Genomic DNA, 19,325 nt, shown 5'->3' on the forward strand with positions numbered 1-19,325 from the left:
TTTTAATGTAAATGTCAGCTTTTTTTTTTTTAAATGAAAGACTACCATGCAGACCAATCTTAACAGGTCTATGGGCCAAAGCCAGCATGAGGAGCATCAATTTTCACCTTCCGCAGGAGGCCTTAGTCAGGCCTGCTGTTAGCTGTCTGGCTGCAAGGAGATGTCTAGCTATTCCCCCCAAACTGCAGGGGCCCTGGACTGGAGGCAGCAGACCTGAACTCAAATGCCAGCTTTACCACTTACTGTGCTGTGTGACCTTGGGCAAGACACTGTCCCTCTCTGAAGTTGTGCATCCTCTGCTATAATGAGGGTAATACAGTACCTACTTTAAGGACTGTTTGAGGATTCAATGAGATAATGCATATAGAGTGTTCAGTAAACAATAGGTAAATGCTCATGCCCTGTTTCCTCCTACCTGGGATGACAGTTCTGCCAAGTGAGCCCCTGTCTGCTCACATCTGATTGTTGAGACTTCTGATGCTCACCAGGCCACCCTGGCCTGGATCCCATCACATAGCAAACTTCAGGGCATTGTGCTGGTCAGACAGAAAGAGTCCTAGAAGCCAGCCACCAGCATTTGCCCAGTTTCTGCACAGGCACTAGGGAGCTGGTTGGATAAGGACCAGGCAGTTTGTTTCCGGAAGGCCTCTGGTGGATATGTAAGATTTGGGAGCATGGGGGCATAGGGAGTGAACAGGCAAAATATATTTTTGGCTTTTCTCGGTACATGTAGGCAGTTACCTCTGTCTATATAAGGCTGGCCTGACCTCAAGGCCCACAACATCCGGAAGGGGCTTCTGAATCATCAAAAATAGAATCAGCTTTGTTGAGGGGAATTTGTGGGTGGAGGATTCAGAGCCATAAGACAGAAGAGGAAGAGGAAGAGGTAAGCCTTCAGATCTTCCTGGAGAGCCTGGTCTGGGATCAGAATCAGAGACCCATAGAGTATTATTTTCAGTAGAGATGGACTTTTGCCTTGTTGCCCAGGATGGTCTCAAACTCCTAGGCTCAAGTAATCTGCCCACCTCAGCCTCCCAAAGCGCTGGGATTACAGGCGTGAGCTACTGTGCCCAGCTGCACAGAATAATTAGAGTCACTGAATTCTTTAGCCTTCTTCAACGTTGCCACTGTCCAGATAGTTTGAGAATACAGAGAAGCAGCCAAAATCTTCCTATATTGCTGGTGCTATCCAATAGCAACAGTATGTGAGCCACCAACTCGAACCGTATGCATAATTTAAACTTTTCTGGTAACCCTACTCAAAGTCCACTGATTCAAATGTTAGTCTCATCTAAAAACACCCTCACAGAAATATCCAGAATAATGCTTGACCAAATATCTGGGCACTATGGCCCAGTCAAGTTGATATATAACATTTTTTAAATTTAAAAAATCGAATTTTTAAAAACAGAAATCAATTTTAATAAAATATTTTAGTCAATGTAACATATCACAAATATCCTTTTAACATGTAAATAATATAAAAAATTGACAGGATGTTTTACATTTATTTTCTCATATTACAATTTTCTACTTATAACAAATCTCAATTTGAACTAGCCACATTACAAATGTTCAGTAGCCACACATAGCAAGTGGCTACTGTGTCACACAGGGCAGCTATAGACCATTTCCATCATTACAGAAAGGTCAGTGGGTAGTGCTGCTCTAGGCCATTAGAACCCGTGACCGCTAATGCTGAAATGGACCTCCCAGATCATGCAATTCAAGGGTCATAGATTCAAATGCTTTCACAAGCCAGGAAAGTGACAGAGTTGACAGAGGAGAGCCAGTGTAAGTCATTAAAGAGTGGTGGGGACTGAGGCTAATTAATGTTTACGTTCCAACTTATGATTTCCTCCACATACTACTCAGCTCCAAACAATTGTTGCCAGATGCCAAAGAGGGTCTCATATTGCTAGATCTGGTATTTTCCTTTCCAAGAGAAGCAGAAATCCAGATTTTTATGTGAAATCTCCTGAATTTTAATGACTAGCAAATAATAATTTAAAATTCATCAGGGGTCTGGCACAGTGGCTCACGCTTGTAATATCAGCACTTTGGGAGGCCGAGGCAGGTGGATCACTTGAGGCTCAGGAGTCTAAGATCAGCCTGGGCAAATGGAAAAACCCCGACTCTACTAAAAATAGAAAAATTAGGTGGGCATGATAGTGATGTTGTGCACTTCCAGCTACTCCAGAGGCTGAGGTGGGAGGATCACCTGAGCCTGGGACATGGAGGTTGCAGTGAGCTGAGATCACACCAGGCCAGTGCACTCCAGCCTGGGCCACAAAGCGAGACCCTGTCTCAAAAAAACTAAACTTAAAAAACCAAACTCATTGGGGAGAGGACAAACAAAACCTGGCTGAGGGCTGGCACCAGATTGCAAGCTCTGATGTGTCAACCCTTTGTGCCTTACTCTTCTCAAAGCTTGTTTCTCCAGACCCCTCCCCATGCTCCTCCTCCCTGCCCTGCACCCGGGAGGTGGACCTGGACAGGCTGCATCAAAGCCCTCCTTGCATTCTGGCTGGTGTTGGTGCAACACATAAAATTTCATGTGTCAACTTGGCTGAGCCATGGTGCCCAGGGATTTAGCTATGCATCACTCTTGATGTTTCCGTGAGTATGTTTTGAGATGAGATTAACATTTGAATAAGTGGGTTTTGAGTAGGGTGGATCACCCTTCAGAATGTGAATGGGTCTCATCCATCAGTGGGAGGCCTGAATATTGCAACAGACTGACCCTTCCTGAGCAAGAGGACGCTCTGCAGCAGATAGCCTTCAGGTTCCAACTGCAGCACTTTCTTGGCTCTCCAGCCTCCTGGTCTCCCCATCAGATTTTGGACTTGCTAAGCCTCCACAATGGTGTGAGCCAATTCCTAAAAGAAATCTTTCTCCTTCTGTCTTGATAAGACACACACACACACACACACACACACACACACACACACACACACACACACACCCTGTTTGTTGGTTTCTCTAGGGAGCCCTGACTCCCCAGAAGGAGAGCTGAGGGATAGAGGAGAGGAAGAGCCCCCTCCTTCCTGCAGTCACCAAGAGCCAGCTGCATCCCTGGACCCAGATCCCATCAGGAAGCTTGCTCCCTTGAGGCCTTGGGCTGGGAGGTGCTCCTCTACTCTTCACTCCCTGATTTCTCAGCACTGGGGTCCCACAATTTTCCTGTGGTCCCCCTACTCTCTGCTGACCTTGTAACTTGACCTTTTACTAAACTCTCTACAAATTAGCTAGTTTGTATACTTTCTATTTCCTCTTGAGACCCCACCTACGTGCTCTCATTTCTCAGATGAAAAAATCGAAATCCAAAATAGTAGGCCAGGTGCAGTGGCTCGTGCCTATAATCCCTGTGCTTTGGGAGGCAAAAGCAGGAGGACTGCTTGAGGCCAGGAGTTTGAGACCAGCCTAGGCAACATAGCAAGACCCTGTCTGCGCAAAAAAAATTAGAAAATAAGCCAGGTATGGTGGTGCACACCTGTAGTCCTTTTTACTCAGTAGGCTAAGGTGGGAGGATCACTTGAGCCCAGGAGTTCAAGGTTACGGTGAGCTATAATTGCACCCCACACTCCAGCCTGGGCTACAGAGCAAGATCCAGTCTCAAAAAAAAAAATAGTAAAGAGATCTGCTCAAGGTCACACAGCATGTTAGAGATGGAGCCAGGATTCCAATGAGGCTTATTGAACTCCTTGTTTAGTGATTTTTATTTCTTCTCCTTTTTACGATACCATCACCACCTCTATTTCTCCACCTACTTGACTCTATATCTGTTTGGCACTCATATTGGAATATGTCTGTGTGTAATCTGTCACTATGTGTACCTGTAGTTCATCACTTCTGTGTGTTCCTGTGTTTTCCTTGGTGGATTTCCTTTATATTTTATTTCAATACTCTCCCGGTGATGATCACCTAGGTGGCCTCAAACAACCGTGGCACAAATATCCTTTGACACTGTCTCCTTAGGACCCATGAGGTAGTTTTCTGGGTCATAGGAAATACAGATAATGAATACCCCTAATTACTGCCAAGATGCTGGCCGGGCTGACAGGATTTCTGTTTCCTTATATCCTACCAGGACTTATTGTCCACTTTTCTTATTTTTCCCAGTCTGATTGGCATGTTGTTGAATTTATTTTAATTTGCATTTCCCTGCAAATTATAAACACATAGGTTTGGGTATCTCTTCATAATCCTGTTGGCCATGTAGATATCTCTTTTCAGGATGACATTTCGTACCTTTTGTCCACTTTTTTCTTGGGGGCTATGGTAAATGGCTTCCAAACACGGCAGCCCACTGTCCCTGGTGGATGCCGCCCCTACCATCAAGGGCTGGAGTCTATTTCCTTCCCCTTGAACCAGGCCAGTCCTGTGGGCTACTTTGACCAATAGAATTTGGCAGAATTGACGTTCTTAGACTTCCACATCCTGCCCTTAGAGGCCTTTTAGCTTCGGTTTTTGTTGCTCTTGAAGGCCACTATCATGTAAAGAGGTCAAGGATAGACTCCTGGAGAAGCTACGTGAAGAGAGACCCTGAAGTGTCAGCGGCCATTGCAGACCTTCCAGCCCTAGCAAAACTCCCAGCTCACGGGGCAGAGACAATGCCATCCCTGCAGAGCTCTGTCCAAATGCAGAAACGTGAGCCGAGAAATTGCTGTTTCAAAGTTCTAAGTTTGAGGATGGCTTGTTATGTGGCCACAGGTAACAAAAACAAGGTTTGGTTTGGTTTTGTTTGTCTTGTCTTTTCTGAGTTGGGGTGCTTCTCATATCTTCTGGACATGAGCCCTTGGTGTATTCCAATGACTCTGTACCAGCCCTGCCATCTCCTTGTTCCTATGCTGCCATGAGCGTACCGTAATGGTGCTGCCGCCTTCTGCCTGCAGATCTTTTTCACTAAGAATGGCAAAGCCCTTCAGGCTTCAAGGACTGAGTAACATCCGGTCAGAGCAAGCTAGAATGCCTTCTCAGGAAAGCTGCAGAGACACCTGGTAACCAGCCAGAAGAGGCAGACTCTAGATTTCCAAATGCCACAAAGTTCCAGCTCAGAGCACCCAACTAAGTGAAGCAATCTGCTCATCTGAAACTCTGCACTTGCAGTCCCCTTGCCTGGAATGTTCTCCCCAGAGACTCCCCATCGCTCCCACCTTCTCCCTTCCTCCCACATTGCCATGAGCATCTGGCTGACTCCTTCAGGTCTCAATCTAGTGCCACCTGCTCAGAGAAGTCCTCTCCGTCCACCCTGGCTAAAGTAGCCTCTGAGTCAGTTTAACATCTTGGTCATTTTCTTCTTAGCCGGCATCATGACACATGACTTGTTTATGTTTCTATTGCCTGTCTCCCCTGCCAGCTTGTAAGTTCCATGTGGGCGGGACAATGAACCAGAACATGACAGGTTCCCAATAAATGTTTATTGAATGAATAAATGGAAGAAGGAGTGAACAAAGTAATGAACAAAACAGACCCCAGATCAGAGGAAGAGATGGCTTTCTTGTTAATTCTGGAGCAGATTCAAGCAGCAAATATTTACTGAACACTTGCTATGTGCTGGAAATTGTTCTAGGAACTGGAGTTACAGCAGTAAAAAAAATAACATTTGTATTTTCATAAATTTATATTCTAGAGGGAGAAGAAGATAATAAGAAAATAAGTTATACAGTGTCCTATTAAGGAGAAATTATAGCAGAGTAAGGGGGTGGAGAGTAATGAGGGTGACATTTTAGACAGGAGGTCAGGGAAGCCTCTCAGGGAAGGTGACACCTGAGCAGGGACTTGAATAAAGTGAGTCGGGGAACCAGACATATACTTGGGAGAGAGTGTTCTAGGCAGAGGGAACAGCACATGCGAAGGCCCTGAGGCAGAGTATGTAGCTGGAGAGGGGAGGGAAGAGCAGTAGAAAATCAGAGAGGTCAACTCTGTGGAATCCCCAGCCCAGGAATTTGGGGCTTTGAAGCTCTCTTATGTTCAGAAAGGCAAATCATCTCCAGGTCCAAAGTTGATTAACATTCTTTATTTCACAGTATTTTTGATCAGAAGTCTTAGAAATCATGATTCATCTGGTTACAAATCCCATGAGTTTCTCTTTGAATGAACCTCTTGCTTCCAGTCCCATACAACGCATCTCCCACCAGCCCCAGTGGGTTGTAACTGTGATTCAACACTGAGTGCTCACTTGGAAAGGAGGTGGAGCTCAACTTCCAACTCAGAGGGCCTCTCCCACTGCTCTCAGGGAAATGCCCATGATTCACTTATGCTGTATCAACAACAAGTGCAGCTGGGCGCTGCCTTCCCAGCTGGCCAAGCGCTCCTAGGGGAATCTCCACCCTCAGAGGCTTAGGAAAGGGAAGTGTGACGAGTCAGGGCCCCTGGGCTGGTGTCTTTTCCAATACTGGGCTAATGCTGGGCCATTCCATTCAGCAGACACTTCCTGAGGGCCTGAGCTCTTCACTGGGATGCCAGAATGCTTCTGCTTGGAACAAAGAGGGATTAACCCTTGAAGGCAGACACCACTTCCAGCCTCGGGCTCACGGGGACGTCTCAGTTTTACCCATATGCAGAAGGGGACAATCTTTTGCTTGCCTGAGACATTTTACCCTGGCCTTTTACAAGGCCCCAATTTATCTTTTGACTTTTCTCTCACCCCTGACAAATGGGGCCTTTGATAATTAAACATGCTTACCACTTAAGGTGGGGCATGGAGAGATCAAGGCCACCTGCTGGGACAAGCAGCAACTGACCGCCTTGCAGCCACAGAGGCCTATGGGGGCCACATGTAGGAGAGTCCTGGCTGGAGGGGTCATGAGTCACCCCATGGGAGGGCAGGACCCAGGCCTGGCCTGACCCCAGAATTATGGCCAAACTGACCCAGATGAAACAGGAGAATCCTAAATCTCTTGGGTCGAGATGTCAGCTGCGGTTTCTAGAACTTCCCCTGGTATGCTCAGGAGCCCAGAGAAACAGCAAAGAGGCTTTGCACAGTCTCATGTCCTTGGAAAGCTATCTGTCCCTTTCCCTGTCTCCAAGGATTAAAAAAGAATCTCTGACTGCTGGTTATCGGCAGGGGTAAAACAACTGGTGCAGAATGGGCACCAACTAAGCAAAATCACACACTGGTTGTGAACAGCTGGAACAACTGGGTTGGAACATTGCAGCCCAGGAAAGTGATCTTTAAAGACAAGGTGGTCTCTTCAGTGTAATCGAAAGTAATCACTGGGGGATAATGTTAGCTGTGCCCATGGGAATGAATGGCCTCCTATCCCAACTGTACGAGACAAACACCATGCCAGATTTGCTCACTGTTGATGACACTGGGCTGTCTTGTATCCTAATGATAAAACAGCTAACTGATAAAGGAGCTTATTTCTCAGGCAGCAGATCTGAGAGATACCTGGGCTTTGAACTGCATGAAAGAGAGAGAAAGTATCCTAGATAATGGCTCATGGACTTGAGTGGGCCACTGGAGGTCACCCTTGCTTGCTGCATATTGGATTACAGAAAAGAATTATTTGATTGTTTTGTAGTGTCCTAGCAGCAGGTGATGGTGACAGCCCTTTGAGAGGGTTCAGCCTCAAGGGAGTCCTCCAGGGGGACTCAGAGGGTCCGAAATGTGTCATTGGCCAAGGTGGGTGGCAATGCTGTGACATTGACCGAGTACATATCAGCCCAGTCCGGGAAGGTGCCCAGCTGGAAGATGGTCTGTGCCCAGGTATTCATAGCCAAACTGAGCAGCAGGACACCCATCAGGTTCATCAGGAGGCCTGTCCGCACCTGAAATAGAGCCCAGACAGAGGGAGGGGTCAGCACCTGACCCACCATACAGATGGAAACATTCAGACTCAGAGACAGGAAGTCACTCACCCAAGATCGCACAGCCAGGAAGTGATGGAGCCAGGACACAGACCCAGGTCGGTAAATGCCTGGGACCCTTCAATCTTTACACTACCCTAGGCTGTCACTCAAAGAGCTGCAAGTGTCCCCATTCATTGATGGCCTCTAGGTTCCAGGCACTGTGTGCTACGCAGTTGTCACAGGGTTATGCTGTTTAACCCAGAAAGCAACCTTACAAAGGTCATTCTTATTAATCCCCATTTTATAGAAGAGAAAAATGAGACCTAGAGAAGTTGACTTGTCCAAGGTCACCTAACTTGAAAATAATCTTGTCTGATCACTAAACACCCCCATCCCACACACATATACACACACGCATGCACACACACACGCATGCATGTAGGAACACACATATGTACACATAGGTACACACACACACTTCAGGTCCAGTCCAGTCAGGTAGTCCTAGTCAAGACTACCCTTGTCCATTGGGAAGCATTTTTCTTCTGTCGGTGGAGAATGTGCCCATCTGCTCCCTACCCTGGCTGGCCTCTTGGACCATTCAGTCCACCTTGGGCTGAAAATCCTTGTTTTCCCACCTGGGTCTTCTGGCTGCCCCGCCTTCACATAGCCCAGGCTGAATCACATGGTGAGACAGTTACTTCCTTTCTAATTCTCTTTCTGTCTATTCCTCCCAGAGAAAGTCTCTCTTAGGGGTGTGATAGGAAAATAAATCTTGGGGCCCCCAAATTACTAAGCTAAAGAGAAAAGTCAAACTGGGAACTACTTAGGGCCAACCTGTCTCCCATTCTATTCAGTCATCCCTCTGCTCACTGAGTTGAATGCATATCTGATTGCCTTCTTTGGAAAGGCTCATCAGAGACTCAAAATAATGCAACCATTTGTCTCTTATATACCTATGACCTGGTAGCCCCCTGCCCTCTTTGAGTTGTCCCGCCTTTCCGGACCAAACCAATGTTCATCTTACATATGTTGATTGATGTCTCATGCCTCCCTAAAATGTATAAAATCAAGCTGTGCTCCACCCACCTTGGGTGCATGTCGTCAGGACCTCCTGAAGCTGTGTCACAGGCGTATGTCCTTAACTTAGGCAAAATAAACTTCCTAAATTTACTGAGACCTGTCTCAGATTTTTGGGGTTCACAGGGGCCACCATGGCTTCAGCACTTCTCTGCTCCTGTCAGTTGCCCTTTTAACAAGGAGAGGCCCAGAACCTTCTCCAGGCAGCTGCTATCAGGGAGAGCTTAATTCTTTTGTTTTTGCCGCTTTGCATTTATTTTTAGGTTTACTGGCCATGGCATATATTAATAATACCGGTTTTCCATTGATGGATGCACTGGAAACATTTCTTCTGGAATATTCTTATTCAAGTTTTTTTTTGTTTTTTTTTTTTAATGTCAAGCTGATTTAGTAAAGGTGTTAAATAAATATTACCACGGACGGGTGGGGGACATACTGCGTGTGCTGTCCTGCCTCTCTTCTAAGGGCACAGAGGTGGAAGCCCTGGCACCTTCGGAGGATTAGAGGGAGTCGGGCCGACATGTTGGGGAAACTGGGGGAGGATTGGGTCTCCCTTTGCCAGGGCTCAAAATTCCTGCTGGTCCCATGTTAGCTACTTCATTAACACCTAACTCATTACTCTCAGGAGCGAACCTGCAGGTGGGCCATCCCTGCCCGGGACTGGCTGACCGGGGGTGCCCCTTGTACCCCTCCACATCTCTTGCAAGTCTCTACCTCTTGGGGACTCTCCATTTCTCTGGCTGTCTTTATTCTCCAAATCTATGCTGTTTGCATTGCTGCCCTCTCAGTCTTTTTCTCTAAGTAGCCTCCCTGCTTCCACACTTGTCCCTCCCACCCTAACGATTCACTCCAGCCAGCAGCCAAAATGATCTTCTACAGACAGAAGTGAAATCACATCATTGCCCTGCTTACCGAGGGTCCCCACTGTGGTTTGAATAAGATACCAAGTCTGTCCTGTCCCCGCTGTTCCCTGACCTCGTGTCTCCAACCTCATCCTTCTCCAACTCCACTGCAGCCACCCCAGCCTCCTGGCCCTGAATTTCTGGAGCACTCGCTGCTATTCCTCTCTTCCAGGCCTTTGTACCTGCTGTGCCCTCCATTGGGACTGCTCTTCCCCTTTTTCTCTGTGAGGCTGGCGGCTTCCCATGATCATCAGCTCCCATGTCACCTTCCTGGAGAGGGCTTCCCTGCCACCCCTCTCCCCCGTCCTCTTACACTTCCTCATGTTTTATTTCCTTCTGAGCACCTAGCAATATTGAAATTTTACATAATTTAGGAAAATCTGCTGAACTTGTTCACGTCTGTCTCCACCAATAGAAAGCAGCCTCCTAGGAGGCGGATCGGTGTCTCTCCCACTCTGCAGTGCCCCCAGTGGCTGGAACATAGAATGCACTCAGTAAATAGTGCTGTAATGAACGAACAAATCAATGAGTCTCTGTCTCGTCTCTTCTCTGTTTGCTCTGTGTCTCCCTTTCTGCCTCGCTCTCACTCTCGCTCTCTCTCCCCATGTGTCCTGCAGGGGTCTTGTGCCTGGAGGGCCTGCATCGCGATTGGTTAAGCAGGTCGCCCGTCTTGGCTTTGACAGCTTTGGAAGGGTTATTTGCAAAGCCAGTGGAGAGGGAAAAGGCCGCAGGAGTCAGGAGCGGGAAGGGAGGAGCTGGTTCAGCAGGGACCTTCCGGGGGAGGGAACATATTGCCAATGGCTGGGCCCTGCTGAAAGCTGGTGGGGTCCTCCCACTGCTACAGTCCTCCGCTTCTGTCTCCTTCCCAGCTGGCTGAGCACTGAGGCCCACCCCTGAGTCCTAGGGTGTGTCTGCTGCTTCTCTCCCCCGAAGATTCTGGGCACGAAGTGGGGTCCAGAGGGAAGGGGAAGTTCCTTGCCTCTGGAGCAAATTTTGGAAAGTAGTCACTAAGGCAGTGTTTCCTGAGATTGTCTAAGTGCAGGAATCATCCCAGAGTCTCTGCTAAATGTATGTTCCTGGTCCCACTCAGAAAGATCTATTCAGAGACTGGGGAGTGGGGTCAGCGTGCAGGAGTCCTGCATAGAGGCCTTGCCCGCCCCCTTGCGGCCCACCCACATCCCGGGGCCTCTGCTGGGAAATGCCCAGACTCACCATGTCTTTGACCAGCAAGTGTCCAGAGGCGAAGGCGATGGAGTTGGGGGGCGTTGAGACCGGGAGCATGAAGGCAAAGGAGCAGCCGACTGTGCCCGGAATCATCAGATACAGGGGGTGCACTCTCAGGCGGATGGCCTGGGCCAGGAAAAGGTGGGAGAGACCCGGAGAGAGACCAACGCAGAGCGACCACAGCAAGAGGGAGAGAGAGAGAGAGAGGCAGTTGGAAAGAGGGACACAAAGACGTAGAGACAGAGAGACAAAGACATCCATAGAGATTGGCAGAGTGGCAGAGAACAACAGGGACAAGTGAGAAGAGAGAGTTAGAGAGACAGAGAGAGAAAGGCAGTCAGAAAGACACATGCACAGGCAGAAACAGAGACAAGCAGGTAAGAAGAGAACCAGATCGAGAGAGAGGTGGAGAGAACATTCCCAGGGTTAGTGACATTCAAGGGCCACACTGTGGTTTGATCAGGGATGGGCTGGGGTGGTGTACCTAGAACACTCCTTCTCCAATGTGAGAGTGCAGAAAAGCACTTGGAGGGCTGGTTAAAGCCCACATGGCTGGCCCCACCTCACCCAGAATTGCTGATTCAGCAAGTCTGGGGTGGGATCCAAGAATCTGCATTCCTGACGTGTTCCCCCGGTGCTGCTGGTCTAAGGACTGTACACTGAGAACCAGGGCTTTAAAATACTTCCTCTGCCTGCTCCTTCCCTCAGCCAAACAATCTCAACCCAGAGTTGGCCTCTGGATACCTCTTGTTGGGGGCATCCCTGGATTTCAGTGAGAAAGAGAGCTCATGAGAGCATCTGTTGGCAGCTCTTCCAAATTTCTAAGACTGTGTGTATCAAACCCCCCTATGAGCTGGCCTCAGCTAGTGGGCCACCAGTTTGTCACCTCTCCTGCCTACAATTCATACTGATCACTTTTATGGCGTTTTACTTAAATAGGATATTTTTGGGCCTTCTAGGGAATTTTTGCAACCCAAAGCATATTTATTTTCTCAAAAAGCTCTAAAATCACCCCCTTGCATGTAAAATGTTTTTTGATTTTGATGATAAGCAAAGTTTACAAGAATGTGTCATTTACAAGTGTCTTTTCCAGCAAAAGCTGCCCCTTACAGACCTGGCTGGGTTCTATGCTCCGTCTCCGTCCCCATACCCCCTATAATACTCTCATTTCTCTCAGTGACCAGGTCCCTCTGAGGACTCCCACCCCATACTGCTATAAAATGGTGAGCCACTTTGGAGGGCAATTTCCTCATCTCTAACGACATTTTAAACGTACATGCTCTTTGACCCAGGAATCTCAGTCACAGGAATTTCTCTAGATGTAATCAATGAATGCATAGACAAGGCTCAGGTGACACGTCATTGTTGAGTAACAGCAAAGTCTGGAAATACCTATATTTCCATTGGGCAGAGAGATTGCTTAAATAAACCAACAACTGTCCATTTATAATGGAATATTCTCCCGTCATTGAAAAATAACACAGTGTATATCTGTGTGCTAACACAGATAAATTGATGCATAAAATAAGCAGACAGAAACCAAAGACAAGGTGCTGCAGGTATGTGTGCTGGGGCATCACTGTTTGCATACAAAGCATTTACTTGCATCATTGATTTAATTTTATCAGCGTGGGTTACATTAAGGTAATTACATGGTCTGGTCTTTAATCTGTTTAAATATAAAACTATATTGATAGTTTCCTTTTTAAAACTCCTAGTATAAAAGCTACCTGATCATGTGTATATTGTTCTTTTCATTCTGTCATGGTTTCATTTTGCTATTTGCATTTCTTTTTACAGGAGATTGAATTATAGCTTTCTCTTCCCTTGCTCTCCTTACCTGGTTTTGGGGCCAGGGTTTTGCTAGCTATAAATTGAGTGGCCATGTCTATTTTTCTATGCTGGTGAACAGTTTGGGTGAGTTGGGAACTCTCTGTTCCTTGCAAATCTGCTAGCTCTCACCCAGCAAACCACCTGGGGCTGGTGATTTTGTTTTTGTTTTTGTTTTGAGACAGGATCTGGATCTGGGTCTGTTGCCCAGGCACCTGCCACTAAGCCTGGCTACTTTTTGTATTTTTTGCAGAGATGGGGTCTCACCATGTTGCCCAGGCTAGTCTGAAACTCCTGAGCTCAAGCAATCTGCCTGCTTCAGCCTCCAAAAGTGCTGGGATTACAGGCATGAGTGGCAGAGCCCGGCCTGGGGCTGGTGATTTTTAGCCCAGGAGTCATCAGCTGGGTAGGGGGAAGGATTTGTTCCCCTGACGGGGATATTTGGGAATGCTAGGAGACATTTGGATTGTCATGATTTAGGGAGGCGCCACTTGTCTCTAGTGAGCAGAGCCCAGGGATGCCACTACACACCCTGTAGTGCACGGATCAGCCCCATACAGAGAATGATCCAGCCCCAACTATCAACAGTGTTGAAACCCCTGCTTTAGAGGGAGGCTACTGCTTTGCTTCCATTAGAATTTCTCCTATGGCCATTTGTTTACTCAGATTTTCTACTTCTTCTTCATCCAAAATTGGTAATTTACCTGTTCTAGAAAACTCTCCATGTCACCATGGGTTAATTTTCCCAGAAGAGAGAATTGGGAGCACTTTGAAAATATTTACTCTATGTATACATTTTTTGAAGGAAAACATCCAGTATTTAAAAAAATTGTACTGTGGTTCTGATACGTTCATGTATTTTGGAAGACAGCAATGGCAACTGTGGCCCCCAGTGAAGGTCCCTTGGCGGGGGAAGATTTCTGAATGTGTGTTGGGGGAGGGGTGCTCCCCTCTTCCCCAGAAGGACCCTCACCAGCTCTGCCAGGACCGGCAGGAAGATGATGATGGTCGCCGTGTTGCTGGCAAACTCAGTGAAGAAGGCGATGACCACAGTGATGAGCAGCACAGCCAGGGCGGGGGGCACATTCTCCAGGGGGTGCAGCTGCCCACCAATCCATACAGACAGCCCCGATTCCTGCGGAGGGAAAGGCATTCCTTCATACCCCAGCCCATCCCCAGCTGCCGCCCCCCAGAGAGGGTTAGGATAGATCACAACAATGACGACCATACCCCTTCCCAGATGGGGAGACTGAGGTGCAGAGAGGGGAGGTGACGTGTCCAATGTCACACATTCGAGCCAAGGTCACACATCTGAGCCAGCAGCCTCTCTACTTCTCGAACTGCTCTCCACTCTATCTCATACAGGCCAGGGACCCAAACCCCTGGGTCTCCAATAATCCATTTGGTTCTAGCACCCCTAAGCACCGATTTAAGTGGGAAAGGGAAATCAAACCAGACCCTCAGTAGTAAAACTTCTCATCCCTCCAGTGAAGGTTATTAATTACCCAAATCATAATAGTTACTTATATAAAATATTCATTATTTTTATAATTATTATTTAATAATATATTAATATGTATGAAATATATATACAAGACTTACTATATATCATATATAAAACACGTATCAGATATACATCAACTACAACACAATCAATGTAATTATCAATAATAATGGTATTTATACGCCTGTAATCCCAGCACTTTGGGAGGCTGAGGTAGGCGGATCACTTGAGGTCAGGAGTTCGAGACCAGGCCAGCCAACCTGGCGAAACCCTGCCTCTACTAAAAATGCAAAAATCACATGTGTGCCTGTAATCCTAGCTACTCGGGAGACTAAGGCATGAGAATCGCTTGAACCTGGGAGGGAGAGGTTTCAATGAGCCAACCTCACGCCACTGCACTCCAGCCTGGGCGACAGAAACTCTGTCTCAAAAGCTACATATATATATGTATTTGTATATATACACACATACAGTAATAAGGATAATTACTACAATGATAATACTACAAATATTAACGTTGCATTATTATTCATTGTCGTAAGAATCACCATTATTGAGGCTTTACAGGGGACCAGGCACCTGCAGGCATTAGCTCCTTGACTCCTCCCAACCATCCCAAAAGGTAAATATTGGTTCCTGTTTTACTGAGGAGGAACTTCAGCCTGAAAAAGTTTTTGTGACTTGCCCAGGATCCCTAAAAGTAGTGCCTGAGACACCCATCTACCTCCATAAGATGTGTGATTCTGCAAAGCTCCCCGCAAATCAGCATCTTCCTCTGGACCCACCAGTCTGTCACCTTGTCTGTAAATTAAGAGCAATGCCCAGTGCTGACTCCAGTCCTCCAGGGCAGAGACGGGTAGAGAAGTTCACCGAGACTCCACTCGCCTGTCAGTGCTGCAGAATTATTTGGGTGCTCTCTCTGCTGACTTCTCCAGAAGCTACCCTATTTACCAGTGTATAACATCTAGAATACTCTTCCGCACCTCTGTCCTCTCACCATCAAATGCATCCTTAAATAACTGACCCAACACATCATTATAACCACAAAACGGCAAAGCTGAGGATGTCAAAATATGCTCAATGCTGTCCCCTGGTGCAACTGTGATGCAGCAAGATCACAATAAAGCCACCGTTTGCTTAGACCTAGAACAAAGCTGTAGGTTTTGGAGCTGATCTAGGGCAGAGCTGGGTTAGTCCATTAACATTCAGAATCCAATGTATTGCTACCATAGCCCTTTTATCAATCCAGTATACCAAAGACACTTTATATATATATTTTTACTTTTAATAGAAAAGTCCCTGCTTACTCAGAACTTAAAAATTTCATAATCGATTCTAGAAGACAGCATACAGGGCCAGGCATGGTGGCTCACGCCTGTAACCCAGCACTTTTAGAGGCCAAGGTGGGCAGGTCGCTTGAGGTCAGGAGTGCGAGATCAGACTGGCTAACATGGTGAAACCCCATCTCTACTAAAAAAAAATACAAAAATTAGCCAGGCGTGGTGGTGCACGCCTGTAATCCTAGCTACCCAGGAGGCTGAGGCAGGATAATCACTTAAACCAGGGAAGCGGAGGTTGCAGTGAGCTGAGATCACGCCACCGCACTCCAGTCTGGGTGACAGAGAGAGCGAGACTCCATCTCAAAAAAAAAAAAAAAAAAAAAAAAAATAGAATAGAGCATACAGTTTTTACATAAATAAAATAGTACACTTGCCCCTACAATTTGACTTAAAAGTTACCTTCAATGTAAGAATAATAAATGCTTAAAAATATTTGTCCCCAGAAGAGTCCTCATGAAACTAAGGTGTTTCTGGTACACCTGCAGTTTGTCTGCTAGCCTGGGGAATACGGTAAGTGGCAGCGTGGAGGCCACAGCCCCTAACCTGGCTGCAAGGAGTGCTGCAGGGAGAAAATGGGACCTCTGGTTTTTCCCATAGGCCACAGCTCTGGCAAAGAGTCTGACCTGACAGCTCTGTGCGCAATTAAAGGGAGAGGGGCTAGAGAGAGGGAATATTAATGACTCGGGCAAGTGAGAAGCCAGGAGCTGCCCCGTAGCTGGGCCTCTGAGTGACCGGGCTTCCAGCCAGCATCCTCGCAGCCACACAGGCCTTGGCACAGCTCCAGCGCTGGAGGGAGGTCTGGCAGCTTCCTAAGAGAGGAAAACGCCTGTTGCGTAGGGTTCTACTGGGGACTCTAAAGGGACTTCACCTGCCCTTTCCCATTTTATTTTATTTATTTTTTTGAGACAGAGCCTCACATTGTCACCCAGGCTGGAGTGCAGTGACACAATTATAGCTCACTGCAGCCTCTATCTCCTGGGTTCAAGCAAGCCTCCCACCTCAGTGTCCTGAGTAGCTAAGGCTACAGGCACACAACACCATGTTTGGCTAAATTTTTTTAAGTGTTTTTTTTTGTAGAGACAGGGTCTTACTATGTTGCCCAGGCTGGTTTGAACCTCTGGGCTTAAGCGATCCTCCTGCCTAGGCCTCCCAAAGTGCTGGGATTACAGACATGAGCCACCATGCCCCAGACTCTTTCCCATATTCTTAGGAATTGGAAGCTTTGTTTCCTTGGAAACACACAGCCCCACAGTATTCCCAGGGACTCCAGGGACCAGCAACAGCCAAGGTCAGAGGTGGCATGGCCAGAAGGTGAAGAGAAGGGGCTCTGGAGTCAGACTGAGTTTGCTTCCCAGCTTAATCTTTTCTAGCTGTCACTTAACTTCCTAGGCAAGTCACTTAACCTCTCTGTGCTAAAATTTCCTTATCTGTAAACGAGGGATAATGATAGTGCCTGTCCCAGAAGGTTATTGTTGGGAGAAAAGGAGTGAATCTATAAAGGGCCTAGGAAAGTGGCTGGGCGCTTGGTTAGCGCCTGCCATAACCAGTAGCATGAAGTCACAAGATGCCTGAAGTGATGGAACTCAGAAATCACCCAGCACAGTGGTTGTCAAATTATGTTCCTTAGTGGCCTTGAAGATGACCAGAAGTACCCAAGGCCACCTTGCAAAAATGGGAGGTGGGGAGATGGAGTTGGTACAGTGATGTTTCCCTCTTCCTCCTGTTTTCTTACTTCAACCAGGTCCTCTCTTCTTGGTGTCTTTGATATACAGTAGAGGAGCATCTTATAAGGGGGTTTGTTATGGCATAAGTTCAATATTTGAAGTCAAAAACTCCTGTGGCCAAAATACCCTTGAAAATCTTTTAAAAGGCTTTGTAAAACACAACGGGCTCGGCTGTGTGCATACAACTTTGTATAATAATTCCTAGGTAAAGAGACCAGCGAATTTGATTAAAGGAAGGAAAAAAGACAAGGCTTTATGTACATGTATAAACATTCAAACCACTGCACCATTTACAAGCTGTGTGACTTTGGGCAAATTAATTAACATCTCTGTTCCTTGATTTCTTTAAGCGATTGCAGTAAGGATTAAATAAGTGCACACGAAACACTCTCTGTACTTAGTAAGCACTGAATATGATCTATCATTTAATTTAACAAAGCAACATAGTGCTTACTCTGTGCTGGGCACTCTTCTAAGTAATTTGTAAATATTACTTAATCTTCATAGCAACCTCATGGAATACAGACTACAGATGCTCCTTGACTTACAGTGGAGTTATGTCTCAATAAGCCCATCACGAATTGAGAATATTGAAGTAGAAAATGCATGTAATACACCTAACCTACCTGTTCACATCATAACTTAGCCCAGCCTACCTTAAATGCGCTCAGGACACTGACATTAGCCTACATTTGGGCAAAATCATCTGGCAATGCTATACACTGTAGAATATCTGTTGTTTACCCTTATAATTGCTCAGCATCTACAAGAGAGTGTCCCACCACATATCACAGCCTGGGAAAAGATCAAAATTCAAGATTCTAAGTACCCTTTCTATTGAATGCATATCACTCTTTCACCATTGCAAAGTTGAAAAATCGTATGTCGAATCGTTGTGAAGTCAGGAACCATCTGTACAATTATCTCCATTTTATGGTTGAAGAAACTGAAGCATAAAAAAGCTCAGTGATTTGCCCAAATAAATAATATGACGTGCCCTAGTAAGATTCAGAATCTGGATCTTAGTCATGTCATTAGGCTTGTCTGTCCGATAAAATGAGGGTAATAATAATTGTATTAGTCCATTCTCGCTCTGCTAATAAAAACATACCCGGGTGTGGGTAATTTATAAAGGAAAGAGGCTTAATTGACTCACAATTCAGCATGGCTGGGGAGGCCTTAGGAAACTTACAATCATGGTGGAAGTGGAAGCAAACACGTCCTTCTTCACATGGTGGCAGCAAGAAGTGCCGAGCAGAAGGGGGAAAAGCCCCTTACAAAAAATCATCAGATCTCTTGAGAACTCACTCATTGTCACAAGAACAGCATAAGGGTAACCGCCCCCACGATTAAATTACTTCCCACCAGGTCCCATGACATGTGGGGATAATGGGAACTACACAATTCAGGATGAGATTTGGGTGGGGACACAGCCAAACTATGTCAATAATAAAGATGACAGACTTCTGGCAGAAAATGAGGAATGGGGAGAATACACATTTTCTCCTTACCTCTATCACCGCAACATATTTGTAAGTAAGTTTGTTGTGGCAACAGAATAAGATCAACCTTTCCTCAATGAATTAATGCAATAATAACAGTAATAATAATAGTGAAGATGAGTGTGGCTCCTGGTTTGAGCACCCAGGGTATATCACCACTCTTCTGGGTACTTTCCATACATTATGTTAGCAATTCTCAAAGCAGCCCATCTTGTAGGTCATAGCAACAATGATGTGTTAAGCACCATTACGCACCCGGTGTCTTCTAGGTGCCTAGAACAGTGGTGGGTAAGACAGACATGGTCTCTGCCTGCCCTCATGGAGCTTCCATTCTAGTAAGAGACACAATCAATAAACATGCCCACAGGATCATTTGGGGGGTAGATGTGGTATATAGGAATAGGCAGGGTCATGAGAGGAAG

At 46.4% G+C, this 19,325-nt stretch overlaps 1 protein-coding gene across 5 annotated transcripts in view, besides 2 other annotated features; it reads right to left on the reverse strand.

Moving 5' to 3' along the window:
- Positions 692 to 891: an enhancer, noted in NCBI's record as "active region_17976". NCBI's record gives its function as "activates an Ori minimal core promoter by ATAC-STARR-seq in GM12878 lymphoblastoid cells {active_cell/tissue: GM12878}" and the evidence as "EXISTENCE:reporter gene assay evidence [ECO:0000049][PMID:35858748]".
- SLC13A3 (solute carrier family 13 member 3) overlaps positions 5,406 to 19,325 on the reverse strand; it is a 126,658-nt gene continuing 112,738 nt past the window's right edge. For all 5 annotated transcript variants that reach the window (NM_001193340.2, NM_001011554.3, NM_001193342.2 and 2 more), the window contains 3 exons: positions 13,807 to 13,968; positions 10,992 to 11,129; positions 5,406 to 7,776 (listed from right to left, as the gene is read on the reverse strand). In NM_001193340.2, coding sequence (NP_001180269.1) covers positions 7,600 to 7,776; positions 10,992 to 11,129; positions 13,807 to 13,968 — 477 coding nt within the window. In that variant the 3' untranslated portion in view covers positions 5,406 to 7,599. The remainder of the gene's footprint in view (positions 7,777 to 10,991; positions 11,130 to 13,806; positions 13,969 to 19,325) is intronic.
- Positions 15,950 to 16,451: an enhancer, noted in NCBI's record as "H3K27ac hESC enhancer chr20:45197011-45197512 (GRCh37/hg19 assembly coordinates)". NCBI's record gives its function as "activates a minimal SCP1, AML or CMV promoter by ChIP-STARR-seq in naive H9 embryonic stem cells {active_cell/tissue: H9 hESC(naive)}" and the evidence as "EXISTENCE:reporter gene assay evidence [ECO:0000049][PMID:30033119]".

This window comes from Homo sapiens, chromosome 20, assembly GCF_000001405.40.
Source record: "Homo sapiens chromosome 20, GRCh38.p14 Primary Assembly".
NCBI classification, from domain to species: domain Eukaryota; kingdom Metazoa; phylum Chordata; class Mammalia; order Primates; family Hominidae; genus Homo; species Homo sapiens.